This window comes from Homo sapiens, chromosome 2, assembly GCF_000001405.40.
Source record: "Homo sapiens chromosome 2, GRCh38.p14 Primary Assembly".
NCBI classification, from domain to species: domain Eukaryota; kingdom Metazoa; phylum Chordata; class Mammalia; order Primates; family Hominidae; genus Homo; species Homo sapiens.
The window spans coordinates 57,011,390-57,034,176 of NC_000002.12; the positions used below are offsets into that span (position 1 = coordinate 57,011,390).

Sequence of the window (22,787 nt, forward strand, 5' to 3'; positions counted from 1 at the left end):
ACTAAATAAATGGAGAAGTATTTCATATTCATGAATAGGAAGACTCAATATTGATAAGTTGTCAATTCTTCACAACTTGATCTGTAGATTCAATGCAATGCCACTCAAAATACCAGGAAGTTATTTTGTAGATATCAACAAATTGATTTTACAGGTTATATGGAGAAACCAAAGACCTGGAATAGTGAACGCATTATTGAAGAACAAAGTTGAAAGAGTAAGACTACCAAATTTCAACACTTATGATAAAGCTACAGTAGTTGAGATAGTGTGATATTGGTGAAGAATGGGAAAAAAAAATGGAGGAGAATAGAGAGCCCAGAGAAAAACCTACATAAATACAGTCACTGATAGTTGACAAAGGAACAAAGTTAATACAATGAAACAAAGATAACCTTTTCAAGACATGGTTCTAAAACAATTGGAAATCCACAAGCCAAAAAAAAAAATCTAGACACAGACCTTATATCTTCCACAAAACTTAATTCAAAATGGATCTTAGGCCTAAGCGTAAAACAAGTTGTACCACTCTAAGAAAATTATTGGAGAAAATCTAGATAACCTTGGATATAGTGATGACATTTTAGATACAACACCAAGGGCATGATCTATCAAAGAAATAATAGATAACCTGAACTTTATTAAGAATTTAAAAGCAAACTCATGCTCTATGGTAAACAATGCTAAGAGAATAAAAAGACAAGCCACAGAATGGGAGAAAATATTTCCAAAGGACACATCTGATAAAAAACTGTTATCCAAAAAGTACCAAAACTAGTAACACCTCAACAATATGAAAACAAAAATCCTAATGAAAATTCGACCTAAAACCTTAACATACACTTCATTAAGAAAACAGACAGATGACATATAGGCATATGAAAAGTGAACCTATGTCATCAGCAAAATGTAAATTAAAACAATGAGACATAATATGGTTTCGATCTGTGTCTCCAACCAAATTTCATGTTCAGTGTTGGAAGTGGGGCCTGGTGGAAGGTGATGGGATCATAGGGGTGGCTTTTAATAGTCTAGTATCATTATCCTAGTGCTGTTCTCATAATACAATTCTCATGAGATATGATTATTTGTGTGGCAGCCCCTCCCAACTCTTCCTCCTGCTCCAGTCATGTAAGACATGGGTGCTTCCCCTTTGTCTTCCACCATGCTTCAGAGTTTACTGATGACCCCCAGAAGCTGCTATGCTTCCTGCATAGCCTGCAGAACTGCAAGCCAATTAAACCTTTTATTTTTTATAAATTACTCAGTCTCAGGTATTTCTTTGTAGCAATGCAAGAATGGACTAATACAGAAAATTGGTACCAAAGAGTGGGACATTGCTAGAAAGATACTTGAAAATGCAAAAGCAACTTAGGAACATTTAATGGGCAGAGATTAAAAGAGTATGGAACACTCAGAGTAAAACAGGAGGATGAGAAAACTTTGGAACCCCCTAGACTGCTTAAATAGTTGTCACTAAAATGCTGATTGTGATATGGACAATAAAGTACAGGCTGATTAGGTCTCATATGGGGAAATAAGGACCTTATTGGAAGCCAGAGTAAAGGTCACTTTTGTTATGTGTTAGCAAAGAGACTGACTGCATTGTGTCCCTGCTGTAGGAATATGTGGAACATTGAACTTGTAAGTAATGATTTAGAGAATCTGGTGGAAGAAATTTCTGAGTGGCAAAGTGTTCAGGAGTTCACCTGTGTGCTTTTGAAAGCCTATGCTCATAGGCATGAAAAAGAAATAACTTGAAATTGGAATTTATATTTAAAAGGAAAGCAGAGCACAAATGTTTAGAAAATTTGCAGCCTAGTTTTGTGGTATAAAAGAAAAGCCCTTTTTTGGGGGAGGACTTCAAGTGGGCTGCACAAATTTGCACAACTAAAAGGAAGGCAAATTCTGATAGTCAAAACCAGAAAAAAGCCTCAAAAGCATTTTAGAGACCTCTGCTGCAGCCACTCCCATCACAAGCCCAGAGGCCTAGAAGGAAAGAATGGTTTTGTGGGCCAGGTCCAGGGCCCCACCACCCTGCACAACCTGGGGACACTGATCCCTGCATCTTAGTCCTAGATGCTCTATCTCCAGCCATGGCTAAAATGGCCCCAGAAACAGCTCGTGCCTCCACTTCTGAGGGTGCAAGTCATAAGCCTTGGCTGCTTCCTTGTGGTGTTAAGCCTGTGAGTGTACAGAGTGCAAGAGTTGAGGCTTGGGAGCCTCCACCTAGATTTCAGAGTATGTAAGGAAAAACCTGAATGTCCAGGCAGAAGCCTATTACAGGGGTGAAGCCCTCATGAAGGACCTCTACTCAAGAAGTATGAAGGGAAAATGTGGGGTTGGAGCCTCCACACAGGGTCCCCACTGGAGCACTGCCTAGTGGAGCTGTGAGAAAAGGGTCACTATCTTACAGACCCCAGAATTGTAGATCCATCAACAGCTTGCTATCCACACCTGGAAAAGTCAGAGGTGCTCCACACTAGCCTGTGAAAGCAGATGCAGGCCTTGTGCCTTGCAAATCCTCAGGGGCAGAGCTGTCCAAAGCCTTGGGAGGCTACCTCTTGCATCAATGTTCCCTGGATATGAGGCATGAAGTTAAAAGAGGTTACTGTGGAGCTTTAAGATTTAACGACTGCCCTGCTGGGTTTCAGATTTGTGGTGGGGCCTATAGCCCCTTTCTTTTGGCCAATTTCTCCCTTTTGCAACAGGAATATTTATGCAATGCTTATTACCTCCATTGTATCTAGGAAATAACTAACTTGTTTTCATGAGAGTCAAAGTCTCATCAAATTTCAAAGTCAGATGAGAATTTCAACTTTGGACTTTTGAGTTAATGCTGGAATGAGTTAAGACTTTGAGGGACTATTGGGACAACATGATTGTAATTTGCAATGTGAGAAGGATATGAGATTTAAAGCGGCCAGGGGATGGGGACATGATATGTTTTGGATATGTGTCCCCACCCAAATCTTATGTTCAATTATAATCTTCAGTGTTTGAGTTGGGGCCTGGTAAGAGGTGATTGGGTCATGGAGATGGTTTCTAATGGTTTAGTACCACCCCTCTGCTACTGTTCTCATGGTAGAGTTCTCATGAGATCTGATTGTTTAAAAGTTTGTGGCACTCCCCTCTCTCTTCCTCCTGCTTCAGTCTTGTAAGACATGCCTGCTTCCCCTTTATCTTTCTGCCATGAATGAAAGTTCCTGAGGCCTTCCCAGAAGCCACTATGCTTCCTGTACAGCCTGCAGAACCATGAGCCAATTAAACCTCTTTTATTTGAAAATTACCCAGTTTCAGCTATTTCTTCATAGCAATGTGAGAATGAACTAATACAAGATCCCACTACATACCTACTAGAATGGGCAAAATCCAGAGCACTGTCAATACCTAAAGCTGGTGAGGATGTGGAACAAGAGAAACTTTCATTAATTTCGGTTGGGACTGCAAAATTGCACAGTCACTTTGGAAGGCAGTTTGGCAGTTTCTTTCCAGAATAAACATACTCTTACCAAATGATCCAGTAGTCATGCTTCTTAATACTTACGCAAATGATTTAAAACTTACATCAGTGCAAAAACCTGCACTCAGATGTTTATAGCAGCTTTATTCATAATTGTCAAGACTTGGAAGCAACCAAGATTTCCTTCAGTAGGTAAATGAATAAATGAACTGTGGTACATCCAGAGAATGGGATATTACTCTGTGCTTAAAAGAATGAGTTATTAGGCCGGGCACGGTGGATCACACCTGTAATCCTAGCACTTGGAGAGGCCACGGAGGGTGGATCACGAGGTCAGAAGTTCAAGACCAGCCTGGCCAACATGGTGAAACCTTGTATCTACTAAAAATACAAAAATTAGCTGAGTGAGGTGGTGTGTGTCTGTAATCCCAGCTGCTTAGGAGGCTGAGACAGGAGAATGGCTTGAACTCAGGAGGCAGAGGTTGCAGTGAGCTGAGATTGTGCCACTGCATTCCAGCCTGGGTGACAAAGCAAGACTCTGTCTCAAAAAAAAAAAAAAAAAAAAAAAGAATGAGTTATTAAGCCATGGAAATAAATGGAGAAAATTTAAATGCTTATTAATAAGTGAAACAAGCCTTTTTGAAAAGGCTGCATATGTTACTATTTCAACTATATAAAATTTTGTAAAAGATAAAACTATGGAGACAGTGAAGATTAGGATTGGGAGGAGGAGGATGAATAGGCAAAGAACACAGGACTTTTAGGGCAGTGAAACTACTCTATATGATACTCTGATGGTGGATGCATGTCATTATTCACTTATCCAAATTCATAGAATGTGTAACACCAAGAGTGAACTCTAATGTAAACTATGGACTTGGGGTTATTATGATGTTTCAATGTTGGTACTTCAAATGTAACACATGTATCAATCTGATGGGAGATGTCAATAATGGGGGAGGATTCACATATTTGGGGAAAGGGGGTATATGAAAAATCTCTGGACTGTTCTTTCAATATTGATGTGAACCTGAAACTGCTCTAAAAATAAGGTATTCATAAAAATAGATATAACAATTATTACTGTGCACTATCTTAATAGATTTTTTGTTGATTTGACTAACTTGTGACTATGGCTACATATAAAACAGCTAAAGTGATGTATTCCTCTATATTATTTATTTTCTATTTTTTTTGTAATTTTTTTATGTCAGATGAGCAATATGCTGACATCATAAAGAGGTTTGAGGGGGGCACATCACACACGTGAATTTGAAAACTCCATCATTATACTTATGAATCACAAAAATATACATTTTCTTAATTGATTTACTCTGTCAACATTGTCCCTCTGCACCTGTCCTTTCATAATTTTCTCTCAGATTCCTTAATGTATGGCTTCAACCGTAATTCATAATGCCTGCATTCAATTATGTTTTAAAATGTACGGTTATTTACCACATTATTTAAATTCTAAATAATTATGAAATTTTAAATTAAATTTTAGCTATGATAGTATGTATCTTTTCAAGTCAAAACATACTCTCAGGAAATTATCATATAGTCTACACAAAATCAGAAGTATTTTAGCTAGTAAAGATGAAGCACAAGGCATATATGCAGAGACCACTCAAAATATTTTCTTTTTTTTAATTTTATTATTATTATACTTTAAGTTTTAGGGTACATGTGCACAATGTGCAGGTTAGTTACATATGTATACATGTGCCATGCTGGTGTGCTGCACCCATTAACTCGTCATTTAGCATTAGGTATATCACCTAATGCTATCCCTCCCCCCTCCCCCCACCCCAAAACAGTCCCTAGAGTGTGATGTTCCCCTTCCTGTGTCCATGTGTTCACATTGTTCAATTCCCACCTATGAGTGAGAACATGCGGTGTTTGGTTTTTTGTCCTTGCGATAGTTTACTAAGAATGATGATTTCCAATTTCATCCATGTCCCTACAAAGGACATGAACTCATCATTTTTTATGGCTGCATAGTATTCCATGGTGTATATGTGCCACATTTTCTTAATCCAGTCTACCATTGTTGGACATTTGGGTTGGTTCCAAGTCTTTGCTATCGTGAATACTGCTGCAATAAACATACGTGTGCATGTGCCTTTATAGCAGCATGATTTATAGTCCTTTGGGTATATACCCAGTAATGGGATGGCTGGGTCAAATGGTATTTCTAGTTCTAGATCCCTGAGGAATGGCCACACTGACTTCCACAATGGCTGAACTACTTTACAGTCCCACCAACAGTGTAAAAGTGTTCCTATTTCTCCACATCCTCTCCAGCACCTGTTGTTTCCTGACTTTTAATGATTGCCATTCTAACTGGTGTGAGATGGTATCTCATTGTGGTTTTGATTTGCATTTCTCTGATGGCCAGTGATGGTGAGCATTTTTTCATGTGTTTTTTGGCTGCATAAATGTCTCCTTTTGAGAAGTGTCTGTTCATGTCCTTCGCCCACTTTTTGATGGGGTTGTTTGTTTTTTTCTTGTAAATTTGTTTGAGTTTATTGTAGATTCTGGATATTAGCCCTTTGTCAGATGAGTAGGTTGTGAAAATTTTCTCCCATTTGTATGTTGCCTGTTCACTCTGATGGTAGTTTCTTTTGCTGTGCAGAAGCTCTTTAGTTTAATGAGATCCCATTTGTCAATTTTGGCTTTTGCTGCCATTGCTTTTGGTGTTTTAGACATGAAGTCCTTGCCCATGTCTATCTCCTGAATGGTAATGCCTAGGTTTTCTTCTAGAGTTTTTATGGTTTTAAGTCTAACGTTTAAGTTTTTAATCCATCTTGAATTAATTTTTGTATAAGGTATAAGGAAGGGATCCAGTTTCAGCTTTCTACATATGGCTAGCCAGTTTTCCCACCACCATTTATTAAATAGGGAATCCTTTCCCCATTTCTTGTTTTTCTCAGGTTTGTCAAAGATCAGATAGTTGTAGATATGCGGCATTATTTCTGAGGGCTCTGTTCTGTTCCATTGATCTATATCTCTGTTTTGGTACGAGTACCATGCTGTTTTGGTTACTGTAGCCTTGTAGTATAGTTTGAAGTCAGGTAGTGTGATGCCTCCAGCTTTGTTCTTTTGGCTTAGGATTGACTTGGCAATGCGGGCTCTTTTTTGGTTCCATATGAAGTTTAAAGTAGTTTTTTCCAATTCTGTGAAGAAAGTCATTGGTAGCTTGATGGGGATGGCATTGAATCTATAAATTACCTTGGGCAGTATGGCCATTTTCACGATATTGATTCTTCCTACCCATGAGCATGGAATGTTCTTCCTTTTGTTTGTATCCTCTTTTATTTCCTTGAGCAGTGGTTTGTAGTTTTCCTTGAAGAGGTCCTTCACATCCCTTGTAAGTTGGATTCCTAGGTATTTTATTCTCTTTGAAGCAATTGTGAATGGGAGTTCACTCATGATGTGGCTCTCTGTTTGTCTGTTATTGGTGTATAAGAATGCTTGTGATTTTTATACACTGATTTTGTATTCTGAGACTTTGCTGAAGTTGCTTATCAGCTTGAGGAGATTTTGGGCTGAGACAATGGGGTTTTCTAGATATACAATCATGTCATCTGCAAACAGGGACAATTAATGAATCCAGGAGCTGGTTTTTTGAAAAGATCAACAAAATTGATAGACCGCTAGCAAGACTAATAAAGAAGAAAAGAGAGAAGAATCAAATAGACGGAATAAAAAATGATAAAGGGGATATCACCACTGATCCCACAGAAATACAAACTACTATCAGAGAATACTACAAACACCTCTATGCAAATAAACTAGAAAATCTAGAAGAAATGGATAAATTCCTCGACACATACACCCTCCCAAAACTAAACCAGGAAGAAGTTGAATCTCTGAATAGACCAATAACAGGCTCTGAAATTGTGGCAATAATCAATAGCTTACCAACCAAAAAGAGTCCAGGACCAGATGGATTCACAGCCGAATTCTACCAGAGGTACAAGGAGGAACTGGTACCATTCCTTCTGAAACTATTCCAATCAATAGAAAAAGTGGGAACCTTCCCTAACTCATTTTATGAGGCCAGCATCATCCTGATACCAAAGCCGGGCAGAGACACAACAAAAAAAGAGAATTTTAGACCAATATCCTTGGTGAACATTGATGCAAAAATCCTCATTAAAATACTGGCAAACCGAATCCAGCAGCACATCAAAAAGCTTATCCACCATGATCAAGTGGGCTTCATCCCTGGGACGCAAGGCTGGTTCAACATACACAAATCATTAAATGTAATCCAGCATATAAACAGAACCAAAGTACAAAAACCACATGATTATCTCAATAGATGCAGAAAAGGCCTTTGACAAAATTCAACAGCGCTTCATGCTAAAAACTCTCAATAAATTAGGTATTGATGGGACGTATCTCAAAATAATAAGAGCTATCTATGACAAACCCACAGCCAATATCATACTGTATGGGCAAAAACTGGAAGCATTCCCTTTGAAAACTGGCACAAGACAGGGATGCCTTCTCTCACCACTCGTATTCAACATAATGTTGGAAGTTCTAGCCAGGACAATTAGGCAGGAGAAGGAAATAAAGGGTATTCAGTTAGGAAAAGAGGAAGTCAAATTGTCCCACTCAAAATATTTTCAAAGTGCTTTTGAAAATAGTATTCACTAACATCTTAATTTTGAATCAATACTCTACTTCCCTTTAAAAAATAATAAAAATTTTATTTATTTATTTAAAAATTACCTTCAGTGACACACTACAGGTAATTTTCAACACTGGGACTTTGGAGGGAGAGTTTCTGGTAGATGGTGGTGTGTGGCATTCATTGACATAAAGCCAAGATGAATTGTACTAAAAGGTAACCTTTTCTGCCATGGATCAGATGGAGCTTTTAAGGGCAAGTGCAGTGTCTGTCAACAGCACATCACTGTCAATCCTCAATTGCTGTTTTCAGAACAAAAATGAGGATAGTGGTGTTTTTTATACAAAACAAATGAACTGGTGAATAACCAAATTAGACCCAGCTTTCATGCTTTGTTTTTAAAAATATATTCTTTCTTCAACTTCTATTTTAGATTCAGGGTATATATGTGCAGTTTTGTTACCTGGATATATTGTGTGATGCTGAAGTTGGCACTATTAATGATCCCATCACACAGGTGCCAATCAGAGCACCCAAAGGTTAACTTTTTAACACTTACTCCCCTATACCCCTCCTCTAGTAGTCCCCAAGGTCTATTGCCATCTTTATGTTTATGCATACTCAAAGTTCAGCTCTCACTTATAAGTGAGATTCTGGTATTTAGTTTCTGTTCATGAGTTAATTCACTTATGACAATGGCCTTCAGCTGCATCTATGTTGCTGCAAATGGCATGATTTTGTTTATTTTTATAGAGGCATAGTATTGCATGGTGTACGTGTACAACATTTGCTCTATACAATCCACCATTGATGGGCACCTAGGCACCTAGGTTGATTCCATGTCTTTGCTGTTGTGAATAATGCTGAAATGGACATGCAGCATTATCTGTCTATCTGTCTGTCTATCTATCTATCTATATACACACACACGTGCATGTGTATTGAAGATATAATTTATCTTCACAAGAAGATAAATTATTCTACAGTTATTCACAAGAAGATACACACACACATATACACACACACATACACACACAAATACACAGTAATGGAATTTCTGGGTCCAATGATAAATCTCTAAATTCTTTGAGAAATCTACAAACTTCTTTCCACGGTGACTGAACTAATTTACAATTCCAACAACAGGGTATAAGCATTCCCTCTTCCTTGCAGCCTCACCAACATCTGTTGTTTTTTTTACTTTTTAGTAATAGCTATTCTGACTGGTGTGAAAGATTATCTCACTGTGATTTTGACTTGGATTTCACTGATGATTAGTGACAGTGAACATTTTTCCATATGTTTCTTGGCCACTTGTATGTCTTCTTTTAAGAAGTGTATATTCATGTCATTTTCCCATTTTGTAATGGGGTTGTTTTCTGTTTGTCAAATTGTTTAAGTTCCTTATAGATTCTGGATATGAGCCCATAGTAGATGCACGGTTGTCAATATTTTGTCCCATTTATTAGGTTGTCAATTTACAAATTCAATTTCAGAACTCTGTTTTGATCTGTTTAGTGTTTTATTTTTTTTCCTGATTCAATCTGGGAAGGTTGTGTGTTTCCAGAAATTTATCCATTTCCTCTTGGTTTTCTAGTTTGTGTGCCTAGAAGTGTTCATAATAGTCTCTGAGGAACTTTGGTTTTACTGTGAGATTGATTGTAATATTGCCTTTATCATTTCTGATTGTGCTTATTTGGATCTTTTTTTTTCCTTGTTTAGTCTAGCTAGTGGTCTACTGATTTAGTTTATCCTTTCTTTTTTATTTTTTTAAATTATACTTTAAGTTTTAGGGTACATGTGCACAACATGCAGGTTTGTTAAGTAGGTATACATATGCCATGTTGATTTGCCACACCCATTAACTCATCATTTACATTAGGTATTTCTCCTAATGCTATCCCTCCCCCTGCCCCCCACCCCATGACAGGCCCCAGGATGTGATGTTCCCCGCCTTATGTCCAAGTGCTCTCATTGTTCAATTCCCACCTATGAATGAAAACATGCCGTGTCTGGTTTTCTGTCCTTGTGATAGTTTGCTCAGAATGATGGTTTCCAGCTGCATGTCCCTGCAAAGGACATGAACTAATGCTTTTTATGGCTGCATAGTATTCCATGGTTTATATGTACCACATTTTCTTAATCCAGTCTGTCATTGATGGACATTTGGGTTGGTTCCAAGTCTTTGCTATTGTGAATAGTGCCACAATAAACATATGTGTGCATGTGTCTTTATAGTAGCATGATTTATAATCCTTTGGGTATATACGCAGTAATGGGATCACTGGGTCAAATGTTATTTCTAGTTCTACATCCTTGGACTAGTTGGACAGTGGATGCAGCCCACAGAGGGTGAGCCAAAGAAGGGCGGGGCATCGCCCCACCCGGGAAGTGCAAGCAGTCAGAGGATTTCCCTCTCCTAGGCAAGGGAAGCCGTGACAGACGGTACCTGGAAAAACGGGACACTGCCACACAAATACTGCGCTTTTCCAATGGTCTTAGCAAATGGCACACCAGGAGATTACATCCCGCGGGTCCCATGCCCACGGAGCCTTGCTCACTGCTAAAGCAGCAGTCTGAGATTGACCTGTGAGGCAGCAGCCTGGCAGGGGGAGGGGTGTCTGCCATTGCTTATGGAATGAGACCACCACTTCTCCTGTTGTCCTTCCCAGCTTCTCCCCTACCTCCTCTTTTCCCTAGTTTATAAGACAGGAGAAAAGGGAGAAAGCAAAAAGTTGGAAAGAAACAGAAGTAAGATAAATAGCTAGATGACCTTGGCGCCACCATCTGGCCCTGGTGGTTAAAATAATAATAATAATATTAACCCCTGATCAAAATTACTTGTGTTATCTGTAAATTCCAGACATTGTATGAGAAAGCACTGTAAAACTTTTTGTTCTGTTAGGTGATGCATGTAGCCCCCAGTCACGTTCCTCATGCTTGCTTGATCTATTATGACCCTTTCACGTGGATCCCTTAGAGTTGTAAGCCCTTAAAAGGGCTAGGAATTTCTTTTTCGGAGAGCTCAGCTCTTAAGATGAGACTCTGCCAACTCTTCCAGCCGAATAAAAACCTCTTCCTTCTTTAATCTGGTGTCTGAGGAGTTTTGTCTGGGGCTTGTCCGGCTACAGCTGAGGCTTGAGTATGTAAACAAAGCAGCTGAGGAAGCTCCAATGGGGAGGAACCCACTGCAGCTCAGCAAGGCCTATTTCCTCTGTAGACTCCACCTCTGGGGGCAGGCATAGCTGAACAAAAGGCAGAAGAAACTTCTGCAGACTTAAGCATCCCTGTCTGACAGCTCTGAAGAGAGCAGTTGTTCTCCCAGCATGGTGTTTGAGCTCGGAGAATGGGCAGACTGCTTCCTCAAGTGGGTCGCTGACCCCCGTGTAGCCTAACTGGGAGACACCTCCCAATTGGGCCGACTGACACCTCATAGTTTATCCTTTCAAAGAACCAACTTTGGCCGGGCGCAGTGTCTCACGTGTGTGATCCAAGCACTTTTGGAGGCCAAGGCAGGCAGATCATGAGGTCAAGAGAAAGAGACCATCCTGACCAACATGGTGAAACCCTGTCTCTACTAAAAATACAAAAATTAGCTGGGTGTGGTGGCGTGTGCCTGTGTACCAGCTACTCAGGAGCCTGAGGCAGGAGAATTGCTTGAATCCAGGAGGTGGAGGTTGCAGTGAGCCGAGATTGCATCACTGCACTCCAGCCTGGTGACAGAGTGAGACTCCATCTCAAACAGACAAACAACAAAAAAGAACCAACTTTTGGGTTCATCAGTTCTTTATATGGATTTTGTTTCCCCATTTTATTCAGTTTTGCTCTCATGATAGTTATTTCTTTTCTTCACTAGTTTTGGGGTTAATTTCCTCTTGTTTTTCTAATTCTTCTAGGTGGACAATTATATTGTTAATTAGAGATCTTTGTAACTTCTTTGAGATAGGTGTTTAGTGCTATAAACTTTCCTCTTAAAACTACTTTTGCTGCATCCCAGAGATTTTGGTTTGTCATGCCTCTGTTTTCATTTGTTTCAAAGACTTAAAAATTCTTCCTGTATTTCACTGCGTACTCAAAGTCATTCAGGAGCAAGTTAACTTCTATTTAACTGTGTGGCTTTTGGAAGTCTTCTTGGTATTAATTTCTATTCTTATTCCACTGTGTTCTGAGAGTATGGTTTGTGTGATTTTGATTGTTTTGAATTTTTTTAGACTTATTTTATGGATGAGGATTGAGCTCCATGTTCAGATGATAAGAATGCATATTCTGCAGTTGATGGGTCAAGTATTCTGTAGATGTCTATTAGGTCCAATTGCTCAAATATCAAGTTTAAGTTCAGAATTTCTGTGTTAGTGTTCTACCCCAATCATCTGTCTAATGCTGTTAGTGAGCTGTTGAAATCCCCCGCTTATTATTGTGTGGCTGTCTAAGTCTTTTAGTAGGTCTAAAAGTACTTGTTTTGTGAAGGGTGATCCAAAGTTGGGTGCTAATGCATTTGGCGTAATTAAGTCTTGAGCTGAGCCCTGTATCATTATGCAATGCCATTTTTTGTCCTTTCTTACTGTTACTTTGAAGTTTGTTTTCTCTGACATAAGAATTGTGACCCTGCTCTTTTTTGTTTTCCATTTGTGTGGTAGATCTTTCTCCAACACATTTTGTTGAGCCTATGGGTGCCATTACATATGAGATGAGTCTCTTGAAAACAGCAGAAAAATAAGTCCTTTTTAAAAACCCATCTTGCCACTGTGTATCTTTTAAGTAGAGTGTTTACACCATATACATTCAGTGTTAATATTGGTGTGTGAGGTTTTGATCCTATTGTAAAATTGTTAGCTGTTTGCTTTGTAGTTTTTATTGTGTGATTGTTTCGTAGGGTCTGTGGAGTATGTACATATGTGTGTTTTGTTAATAGCAGACCTTGTTATTTTGTTTCCATGTTTAGAACTTTCTTAATAATCTCTTGTAAGACTGGACTAGTGGTATGAATTCCCTTAGTGCCTGCTTGTCTGGGAAAAGTTTTATTTCTTCTTCATTTGTAAAGCTTACTTTGGAGGGATATAAAATTATTGGTTTGAATTTCTTTTAAGAATGCTGGAGGTAGGTTCCTAATTTCTCTTAGCTTTTAAGGTTTCTGCTGAGAAGTCTACTGTCAGTCTGATGGGTTTCCCCTTGTATATGGTCTACCCTGTTTGTCTAGCTGCCTTTAAGATTTTTTTCTCCAGCATTGACTTTGAACATTCAGGTGACTGTGTGGTTTGGTGATTGTATTAGTCTGTTTTCATGCTGCTGAGAAAAACATATCAGAGACTGGGTTATTTATAAAGAAAAAAAGTTTTAATGGACTCAGTTTCATGGAGCCGGTGAGTCCTCACAATCATGGCGGAAGGCAAAAGACACATCTTACATGGTGGCAGGGAAGAGAGAACTTGTGCAGGGAAACTCCCCCTTATAAAACCATCAGATCTCATAAGACTTATTCACTATCAAAATAACAGCACAGGAAAGACCCACCTCCATGATTCAATTACCTCCCACTGGGTCCCTCCCATGACATGTGGGAACTGTGGGAGCTAAATTAATGATAGGATTTGGGTGGGGACACAACCAAACCATATCATTCTGCCCTTGCCCCTCCTAAATCTCATGTTCTCACATTTCAAAACTAATCATGACTTCCAAACAGTCTCCCAAAGTCTTAACTCATTTCAGCATTAACTCAAAAGTCTACATTCCAATGTTTCATCTGAGACAAGGCAAGTCCCTTCTGCCTACGAGCCTATAAAATCAAAAGCAAATTAGTTACTTCCTAGATACAATGGGGGTACAGGCACTGGGTAAATACAGCCATTCCAGAGAGGAGAAGTTGGCCAGAATAAAGGGGTTACAGGCCCCAGGCAAGTCTGAAATCTGGTGGGTCAGTCAAATCTTACCAAAGTGATCTCCTTTGACTTCATGTCTCATATTTAGGTCATACTGATGCAGGAGGTAGGTTCCCATGGTCTTGGGCAGCTCTGCCCCTGTGGCTTTGCAGGATGTAGTCCCCCTCCTGGCTGCTTTCATGGACTGGCATTGAGTGTCAGCAGCTTTTCCAGGTGTGTTGTGCAAGCTGTCGGTGGATCTACCATTCTGCGGTCTGAAGGATGCTGGCCCTCTTCTCATAGCTCCACTAGGCAGTGCCCCAGTGGGGACTCTGTGTGGGGGCTGCAACCCTATATTTGCCGTCTGCACTGCTCTAGCAGAGGTTCTTCATGAGAACCCTTCCCCTGCAGCAAATGTCTGCCTGGACATCCCGACATTTCCATATGTCCTCTGAAATGTAGGCAGAGGTTCCCAAACCTCAATTCTTGACTTCTGTGCACCCACAGGCTCAAAACCATGTGGAATCTGACAAGGATTTGGGCTTACACTCTCTGAAGCCATGGCCTGAGCTGCACCTTGGCCCCTTTTAGCCATGGCTAGAGCATCTGGGATGCAGGACACTAAATCCTTAGACTGCACATAGCAGAGTGGCCCTGGGCCCAGCCCATGAAAACATTTTTTTCTCCTAGGTCTCTGGGCCTGTGATGGGAGGGACTGCAGCAAGTGTCTCTGACATGCCCTGAAAACATTTTCTCCATTGTCTTGGTGATTAACATTTGGCTTCTCATTACTTAGACAAATTTCTTCAGCTGGCTTGAAATTCTTCTTAGAAAATGGGTTTTTCTTTTCTATTGCGTTGTCAGGTTGCAAATTTTCTGAACTCTTATGCTGTTTCCCTTTTAAAACTCAATGCTTTCAACAACGCCCAAGTCACCTCTTTAACGCTTTCCTACTTAGAAATTTCTTTTGCCAGATACCCTAAATCATCTCCCTCAAGTTCAAAGTTCCAAAAATCTCTAGTGCAGAGGCAAAATGCTGCAAGTCTGTTTGCTAAAACATAGCAAGATTCACCTTTACTCCAGCTCCCAACAAGTTCCTCCTCTCCATCTGAGACCACCTCATCCTGGACTTCATTGTCCATATCACTATGAGCATTTTGTTCAAAGCCATTCAAAGGAAGTTCCAAACTTTCCCACATTTTTATGTCTTCTTCTGAGCCCTCCAAACTGTTCCAGCCTCTGCCTGTTACCCAGTTCCAAAGTTGCCTCCATGTTTTCAGGTATCTTTACAGCAGCTCCCCACTCTACCAGTACCAATTTACTATATTAGTCCATTTTCACGCTGCTAGTAAGAACATACCTGAGACTGGGTAATTTATAAAGAAAAAAGGGTTATTTAACTCACAGTTCCACATAGCTGGAGAGGCCTCACAATTATGGCAAAAAGCAAAACGCAAGTCTTACATGGCAGCAAGGAAGAGAGAACTTGTGCAGGGAAACTCCCCCTTATAAAACCATCAGATCTCATGAGACTTATTCACTATCACAAGAACAGCATGGGAAAGACCCACCCTCATGATTCAATTACCTTCTACTGGGTCCCTCCCATGACGTGGGAATTGTGGAAGCTATAATTCAAGATAAGATTTGGGTGAGGCACAGCCAAACCATATCAGTGATGTTCACTTTGCAGAGTATGTTGCATATGTTTTCTGGATTTTTTTATATCTAGATGTCTACCTTTCTAGCAAGATTTGGGAAATTTTCTTGAATTGTTTCTTCAAATATATTTCCCAGATTGATAATTTTTTCTCCTTCTTTCTCAGCAATGCCAATAAATCATAGATTTGGTTGCTTTACATAATTCCATACTTCTCAAATACTTTATTCATTTTTAAAATTTCTTATTTTCTTTATTTTTGTTGTACTGGCTTAGTTTGAAAGACCTGTCTTTAAGCTCTGAAATTTTTTCTTCTACTTGATCCAGTCTATTGATAAAACTTTCAATTGTATTTTTAAATTCCTTAAGCAAGATTTTTCAATGCCAGTAGTCCTGATTGATTTCTTTTTCAGATGTTAATCCTTCTTTAATTTCCTGGATTCTTCAGAAGTTTATTTGTTTTTATTCTCAATCTTGTCTTAAGTCTCATTGAACTTCTTTTCAATCCATGCTTTCAATACTTTATCTGTAATTTCTGAGTTTTCATTTTTGTTAGGAACCATTCCTGGAGAGCTAGTGTGATCTTATGGTTGTGTCATTACATTCAGATTTTTCATAGTGCCGTAGTCCCTGTGCTGGTTCCTTCTCATCTGGAGACAACAGCACTTCTTGTTTTTTAAAATATTTTTGAGTGGATAGGATTTTTTTCTTTATTCCCAATATTATCATTAGTATTATTTTTCTCTGCCTTTCAATTTTTTCCCCTCTCTAGGGAGTGTGACTGTAGATAATGCTGTGTTGAGTTTTTGGCTTTGTTTCTATAGCCTCATAAACTTCTTTTGGTAGGTTTTGTATTGGGATGTGCAGTTTGACCTACAAGCCCATAAATGGCCCTTATAGAAAGGAGCTGGCTGCAGCCAACATGGTTGTGTATATACTTGATCCTTGATTACTGGTAGAAGCTCCCTGTTGCCTCAGGCAATGGGCTGATTTGTGAAATACACAGTGGTCTGAGCTTTTTCCTCGGTCCTTGAGGGGTGGCAGCCACAAAGGGTAGGGCTGGAATGACAAGTTCTACCTACAGGTCCCCTGATGGCAGGTATAAAACCCAGCACCAAGGGAGAATCCAGTGGGCAGCCATAATCCTTGTAGAGGTGTGCTCAGGCATGGGGATGGAAAACCTCCTTGACCCCAAATTCTTTGCACAGAGATGGGAGTTAGACTAAACTCCTAATCCAGGAAAGTGGGTGCTGCAGATGTCTGGTCATGGAGCAAAGAGGGCCTCCCTCCATCATGATCTATGTCAAGGAAAAATGGGGTGGCTCAGGCTGCTGAACCAGATGAGAAGGTATTTTGAATGCCTGGAGATCTGCCTGGTTGTGGGGTAGAGAGAACCTTACTGCACCACAATCTATGTCCAGGAAGGCCATTGCAGCTCTAGCTGCTGAGCCAGGTGAACTGATGTTCTGAATGCCTGGAGATCTGCCTGGGTATGAAGAAGAGAAGGCCCTACTGAACCATGATCTATGTCCAGGAAGGGTAGCACACCTCAGGCTGCCGAACCAGGTCTCTGAATGCCTGGATTTCTGCCTGGTGGTGGAGCAGAGATAGACTCACTTCATTGCAGTCTCAGAGGAGCAGGGTAGGGCACACAACAATGGCACATGAAAATTAGTTCCAGGTCAACAAGCTGGCTTTGGCTGCAAGTCTCACTGCCCAGGAGAAACTGCAGCTGTAGTAGCTCTCCTCCTGCTCCAGGCATATGATGCAGAAGAGCACAATTCCAGTGCCAACTGTTGAAGCACTTTCCACAGTTCTGTCTGTAGAGGCCCCTATCTTGGTCCAGAACAGGTGCTCATCTCTGGCTTGAGGCTAAAATGCCTGCACATCCATGCAGCTCAGTCACCAATGAAGGTGGCTTTGTATGTGCAGGAATAAAAATGGTGTTCTGCTCTCAGTCCCAGCTCTGGGAAAGTGTGTGCAGTTTTTCCAGTGTTTTTCCCACATGACTTCTCCAAGCCTTTCCCCTAGTTAGCTTCAGGGTTTGAGAGAAACAATGTTCTCTCTATCAGCCTGGGTTGCTTGGGTCCACATTGAAAAGGTGATTCACAGCAGGAGGCTCTCTGTTTCTCTTATATATTAGGGCTTCACTCCTTTTCATCAGCTGGTCACCATCATGGAGACTGTTTGGTGATGTTCTCCTCTCTGGGATCTAGTGTGTCCTTAATGATTCCAGTTGATTCCCAATTTCCTTCTTGAATTAAAGCTCACTGAGTTGATCTTTATATATTTTTCTATTTCCAAATGGCTGAGGCATGCTGAAAGCATCCAATCTGCAATCTTGGGGAAATAAAAACACAAAACAAAAAACACCCATGCCTTTTTTACACTTCTGACTCTCCTGCAATAGCGGTCACTTTTGGTATGAGTCAAGGCCAATCTTCTGTTCATACACTACAGCATCAGAGAGGTGTTAAGAATATACCTCTTGGCCAACTTCATTGGCTCATGACTGTCATCTCAGCAATTTGGAAGGCTAATGTGGGAGGATTGCTTGAGACCAGCAGTTCATGATCAGCTTGGGCAACATAGTGAGACCCCATCAGTACAAAATAAAAATTAAAAAAAAAAATCAGCTTAGTGTGCTGGTGTGCTCCTCTAGTCCCAGCTCCTTGGGAGGTTGAGGTTAGAGGATCATTAGAGTCCAGGAGTTCAAGGCTGTAGTGAGTTATGATCCTGCCATTGCACTCCATCCCCAGCCTGGGTGACAGAGCAAGAATCTATCTATGAAAGAAAAAAAAAAAATAGAATATACCTCTATTTGTAATAGCTGACTTTCTTATTGCTTAATATAGCAATGCTCTGTATCTTCCCTTATTCAACTGACAATTAGAACCAATGTGCAAACTAAAGCATTGAATTAAGACCATCTTTAATGTGGTATCAATATTATCCAAACCCTTCCTTGGCCCAGGTTAAGACTAGGCCCAGCCAGTATTTGTGGATTCCTATATGAAATGTCCATAGGCAATTTTTTTGGTTTCCAGTTGGTAAACATGTTAGGAGTAACAAAGATTGACCTTAAAGTAGTGGCAGTAATTCATCTGTCATTATTTGTTATGGACTGATTTTTTGTGTCCCCCTAATGCTCATATGTTAAAGCTTTTACCCTCAATGTGATTTTATTTGCAGATAGGGCCTCTGTGGAAGTAATAAAGGAGATCATATAGGTGGGATCCTAATTGGAAAGGTCAGTTGCCCTTATAAGAAGAGACATCAGAGACCTATCTGTCTGAGAATACTTAAAAGAAGGGTTGCTTGAGGACAAAACAGCCACGTGCAAGCCAGGAGGGTGGCCCTCATCAAAAAGTGGACTCTGCTGGAAGCTTGACTTTAACTTAACAGCTTTCAGTATAGAGAATGTAAATTTCTTTTGTTTAAGCCACCAGTCTATATTATTTTGTTATGGCTGCCTGAGTTACCATGTCCTTTGTACATTTCCAGCTGTGTAAAATTTAAATATTTCTTACATTTCTTCTCTGGATCTAGCATCAGAGTACGTTGTATTTTTTTTTTCCTTCTCTCTTTTTCTTTCATTCTTTACTAAAAATATCTTTTAAGAGAGTTTTTTTTTCTTAAAGAAAAATTTCCTTTTCCCCTTTCTTGCCTTCTTTTTATACACTTATAAAATTTAAAACATTATTTTTGTTAAGTAAGTCAGAGAACACAAAAATTCATACAGTATGAAAGTTCTTCATTCTATGTCATTCTGTTTACTTTCCACAGAAACAGTAATAAAATGCCATTAATAAGATATGCATTCTTTGAGACCTGTATATATTCATTTATACGCATCTATCATACTTAAAGTACTCAAAACTGTTTACTTTTTTATAAAAATATTACATTTTGAAACTTTTCTTTTTATTTAGCACAATTTCTGATTTATCTTTCCTGTGAATGTATCTAGGTTTGTTACTCTATTTTTAATGGCTTTATTTTGTTCTTACTTTGAGTATGTAATTTTTATATATCCAGTCTTCTGTTAAGATATATCATGTTATCCCTAATTATTATGACATTTGCAAATGGTGTACATACGTATTTGTCTCTGAAGAGAGGTTCCTTGAAGTAGAATGATAGTCCAAATATTTAATGCACTACTTAATATTGACGAATACTGCAAAATGCTGCCGCATTTTAGATTGTTCTTAAACCAATGCTCAGTTGGACTTCAAATCTTAGTTTATTTATAACTCAAAATATTATGAAAAGGAAGTAATACTCTCCAGAGGATTCTAACAGATACAGAAAAATGTTAATGGTTATTTGTTTTTATTTTGCAAGTGAAAAAGGGACTGACTTTCCTGAGGTCCCTTGATATTATCAGGAATTCTATAAACGTAGGACAAAAAGGAAAAAAGGCAGTGATAACAAAAACAAGATCAAATTCATGATGAATTTTTGAGCAAACTACATAACCTAAAATACATAAAGCAGACATTTCTAGTATTCTAGAAGAAATAGAAAATGCCAGAACATAGTGGGGTGCTTTCATTTACCTTACTCAGAAAATGATAGATTAATATTGGATGAAAAACAAAACAAAACCAAAAATATCACAGTACATTTTCTATGAGAAACCAATTTAAATAAAAATAGTACAGAAAGTTTAAAAATATCAGTTTGGAAAGGAAATTATATTGTAAATTGTAGAAAAAAGATTAAAATTGCGATAAATGATAAAATAAGCATTAAGTGACAAATTAAGATTTTATACATGAGTGAAGGAATATAAATATGTAAGAATGATAATTAAGAACATATGCTTTCCTAGAAATGGACTCTAAACACATACCAATTGACAGAAATTGTGATAAGAAATGTAATTAAATATTTCATACACACCTCTGAGAAACTCTTACAGAAATCAGATTAATAATTTTTTAAAATAGAAATTTTAATGACATAATTATTAACTAATAAGAAACTCTAAGAGAGGGCGGTGGAGAAATTTTCCATTATGTAAATACTAAAGTGTGTCTGGCAATCAACAGTAATAAGAAATTAAGATAAAGTAAATCATCTCTACAATGAATGTGGATGTCAAAATTAAACTGAGAAGCCAAAACATTTGCTTACATATTTGTTTTTATACAGAGAATTTCAAGAAGCATTCTGTTTCACAAAATAAGTGATACCTGTCTATTTTCTGCTAGTGCCATTTCACTTACTTATGGCTAGCTTTGTTTTTCCATGTGAAATATCCAAGCAAGGATATTTTCAGTGTTATTTTTATCAGTCTATAAATTTTTAAACACCAATGACATCCCAAACAGTATTCTAGACACTACAAAGAAAAGTTTCAAAGAAATGCTATTTTCTTAGAAATGGTTATTATTTTAAAAATTTAGTACTACTGCCGTTTTTCAGTAACAATAGACAAAAATAAAGAATTATGTCTCTGCCCATGATTTAACCATTGAATTATTATTCTTTATTTTACCTAGAGTCCTATGATATGGTGATTTGTTAGATTGATAAAGAAATTCTTCTTTCTAACTGCTTGCTTTCTCATTCTGACATCTTTTCAACAAATCGCTGTTGTTTTACATCACTTTCTATTTAAGTAGGGTTTTTTATGTTTACTCACTTATTTTCCTATTGTTCCACATACAGTTATGTAGATTCAATTGTATTATTTTTAATTGTTGTGGATACATAATAGTTATACATTTTTGAGGTTACATGTGATATTTCGATACAAGCATACATGATTCCATTCTTAAGCTACAGATTTGCACATCTGTCCTCAGCTCTGAAATGATGCCACAGATAACGTTGGGATATATCAGTTTTGGAAACATATCAGAGAGAAATGAGTACACTTATTTCCCAAATGTCACTTAAAGTGTTGTATTCAGGTCCTCAATAACTCACCAGTAATATTGCTAGGTAGTAAAAATAGTATGTACAGAAAGGCTTAGACTTGTAGTGATCCAAGGTCAGTGCAGTAGGAGTGACCCTTCCAGGGTGCAGGCAATAATTCAAACGTGAAGACAATAACAATTAAACTGATGAAGATTGGTCAGTTTTCTGTCACTGTAAGCCTATCTTTTTTATATATACTTTAAGTTCTGGGGCACATGTGCAGAATGTGCAGGTCTGTTACATAGTTATACATGTGCCATGGTGTTTTGCTGTACCCATCAACCCATCATCTATATTAGGTATTTCTCCTAATGCTATCCCTCCCCATGTCCCCCACCCCCCAACAGGCCATGGTGTGTAATGTTCCCTTCCCTGTGTCCATGTGTTCTCATTTTTCAACTCCCACTTATGAATGAGAACATGCAGGGTTTGGTTTTCTGTTTTTGTGTTAGTTTGCTTAGAATGATGGTTTCCAGCTTCACCCATGTACCTGCAAAGGACATGAACTCATCCTTTCTTATGGCTGCGCAGTATTCCATAGTGTAAATGTGCCACATTTTCTTTATCCAGTCTATCATTGATGGGCATTTTGGTTAGTTCCAAGTCTTTGCTATTGTGAACAGTGCTACAATAAACATACATATGCCTGTGCCTTTATAGTAGAATGATTTATAATACTTTGGGTATATAACCAGTAATGGGATTGCTGGGTCAAACGGTATTTCTAGTTCTAGATCCTTGAGGAAACACCACACTGTCCTCCACAATGGTTGAACTAATTTACACTCCCACCAGCAGTGTAAAAGTGTTCCTATTTCTCCACATCCTCTCCAGCATCTGTTGTTTCCTGACTTTTTAATGATTGCCATTCTAACTGGCATGAGATGGTATCTCACTGTGGTTTTGATGTGCATTTCTCTTGGTAAGAATAAGATAGTCTTTCCTCCAAAAAATGTTTTGGGTCTCAATTCTAAACAATTTTAGTTGTTGTGTATGTATAAGCATACAGTACATACACATACACACACATTTTTGTCAAATTTGCATATTTGTTATCCTTTAATGCTGTCCTTTAATAAACATTTTGTTATACATTAAAGGTCATTTGGAGAGTTTCCAGTTATACAGTTTGCCCATGCCACTTGCAGACTTTGCTGCATACATTCCTTTGAAAATTAGTATCAGGTTTTGGGCAAAGTCACCTTCTTCAACTCCTGCAGAGCTATAGGA

The 22,787-nt window shown here is 38.6% G+C and overlaps 1 non-coding gene across 1 annotated transcript; it reads right to left on the minus strand.

The window, feature by feature from the left end:
• Positions 1-4,671: 4,671 nt before the first annotated feature.
• On the minus strand, positions 4,672-4,775 carry LOC124906180 (small nucleolar RNA U13). The gene has a single exon (XR_007088766.1). It is a non-coding gene; the product is annotated as a small nucleolar RNA U13 (small nucleolar RNA).
• Positions 4,776-22,787: the final 18,012 nt, after the last annotated feature.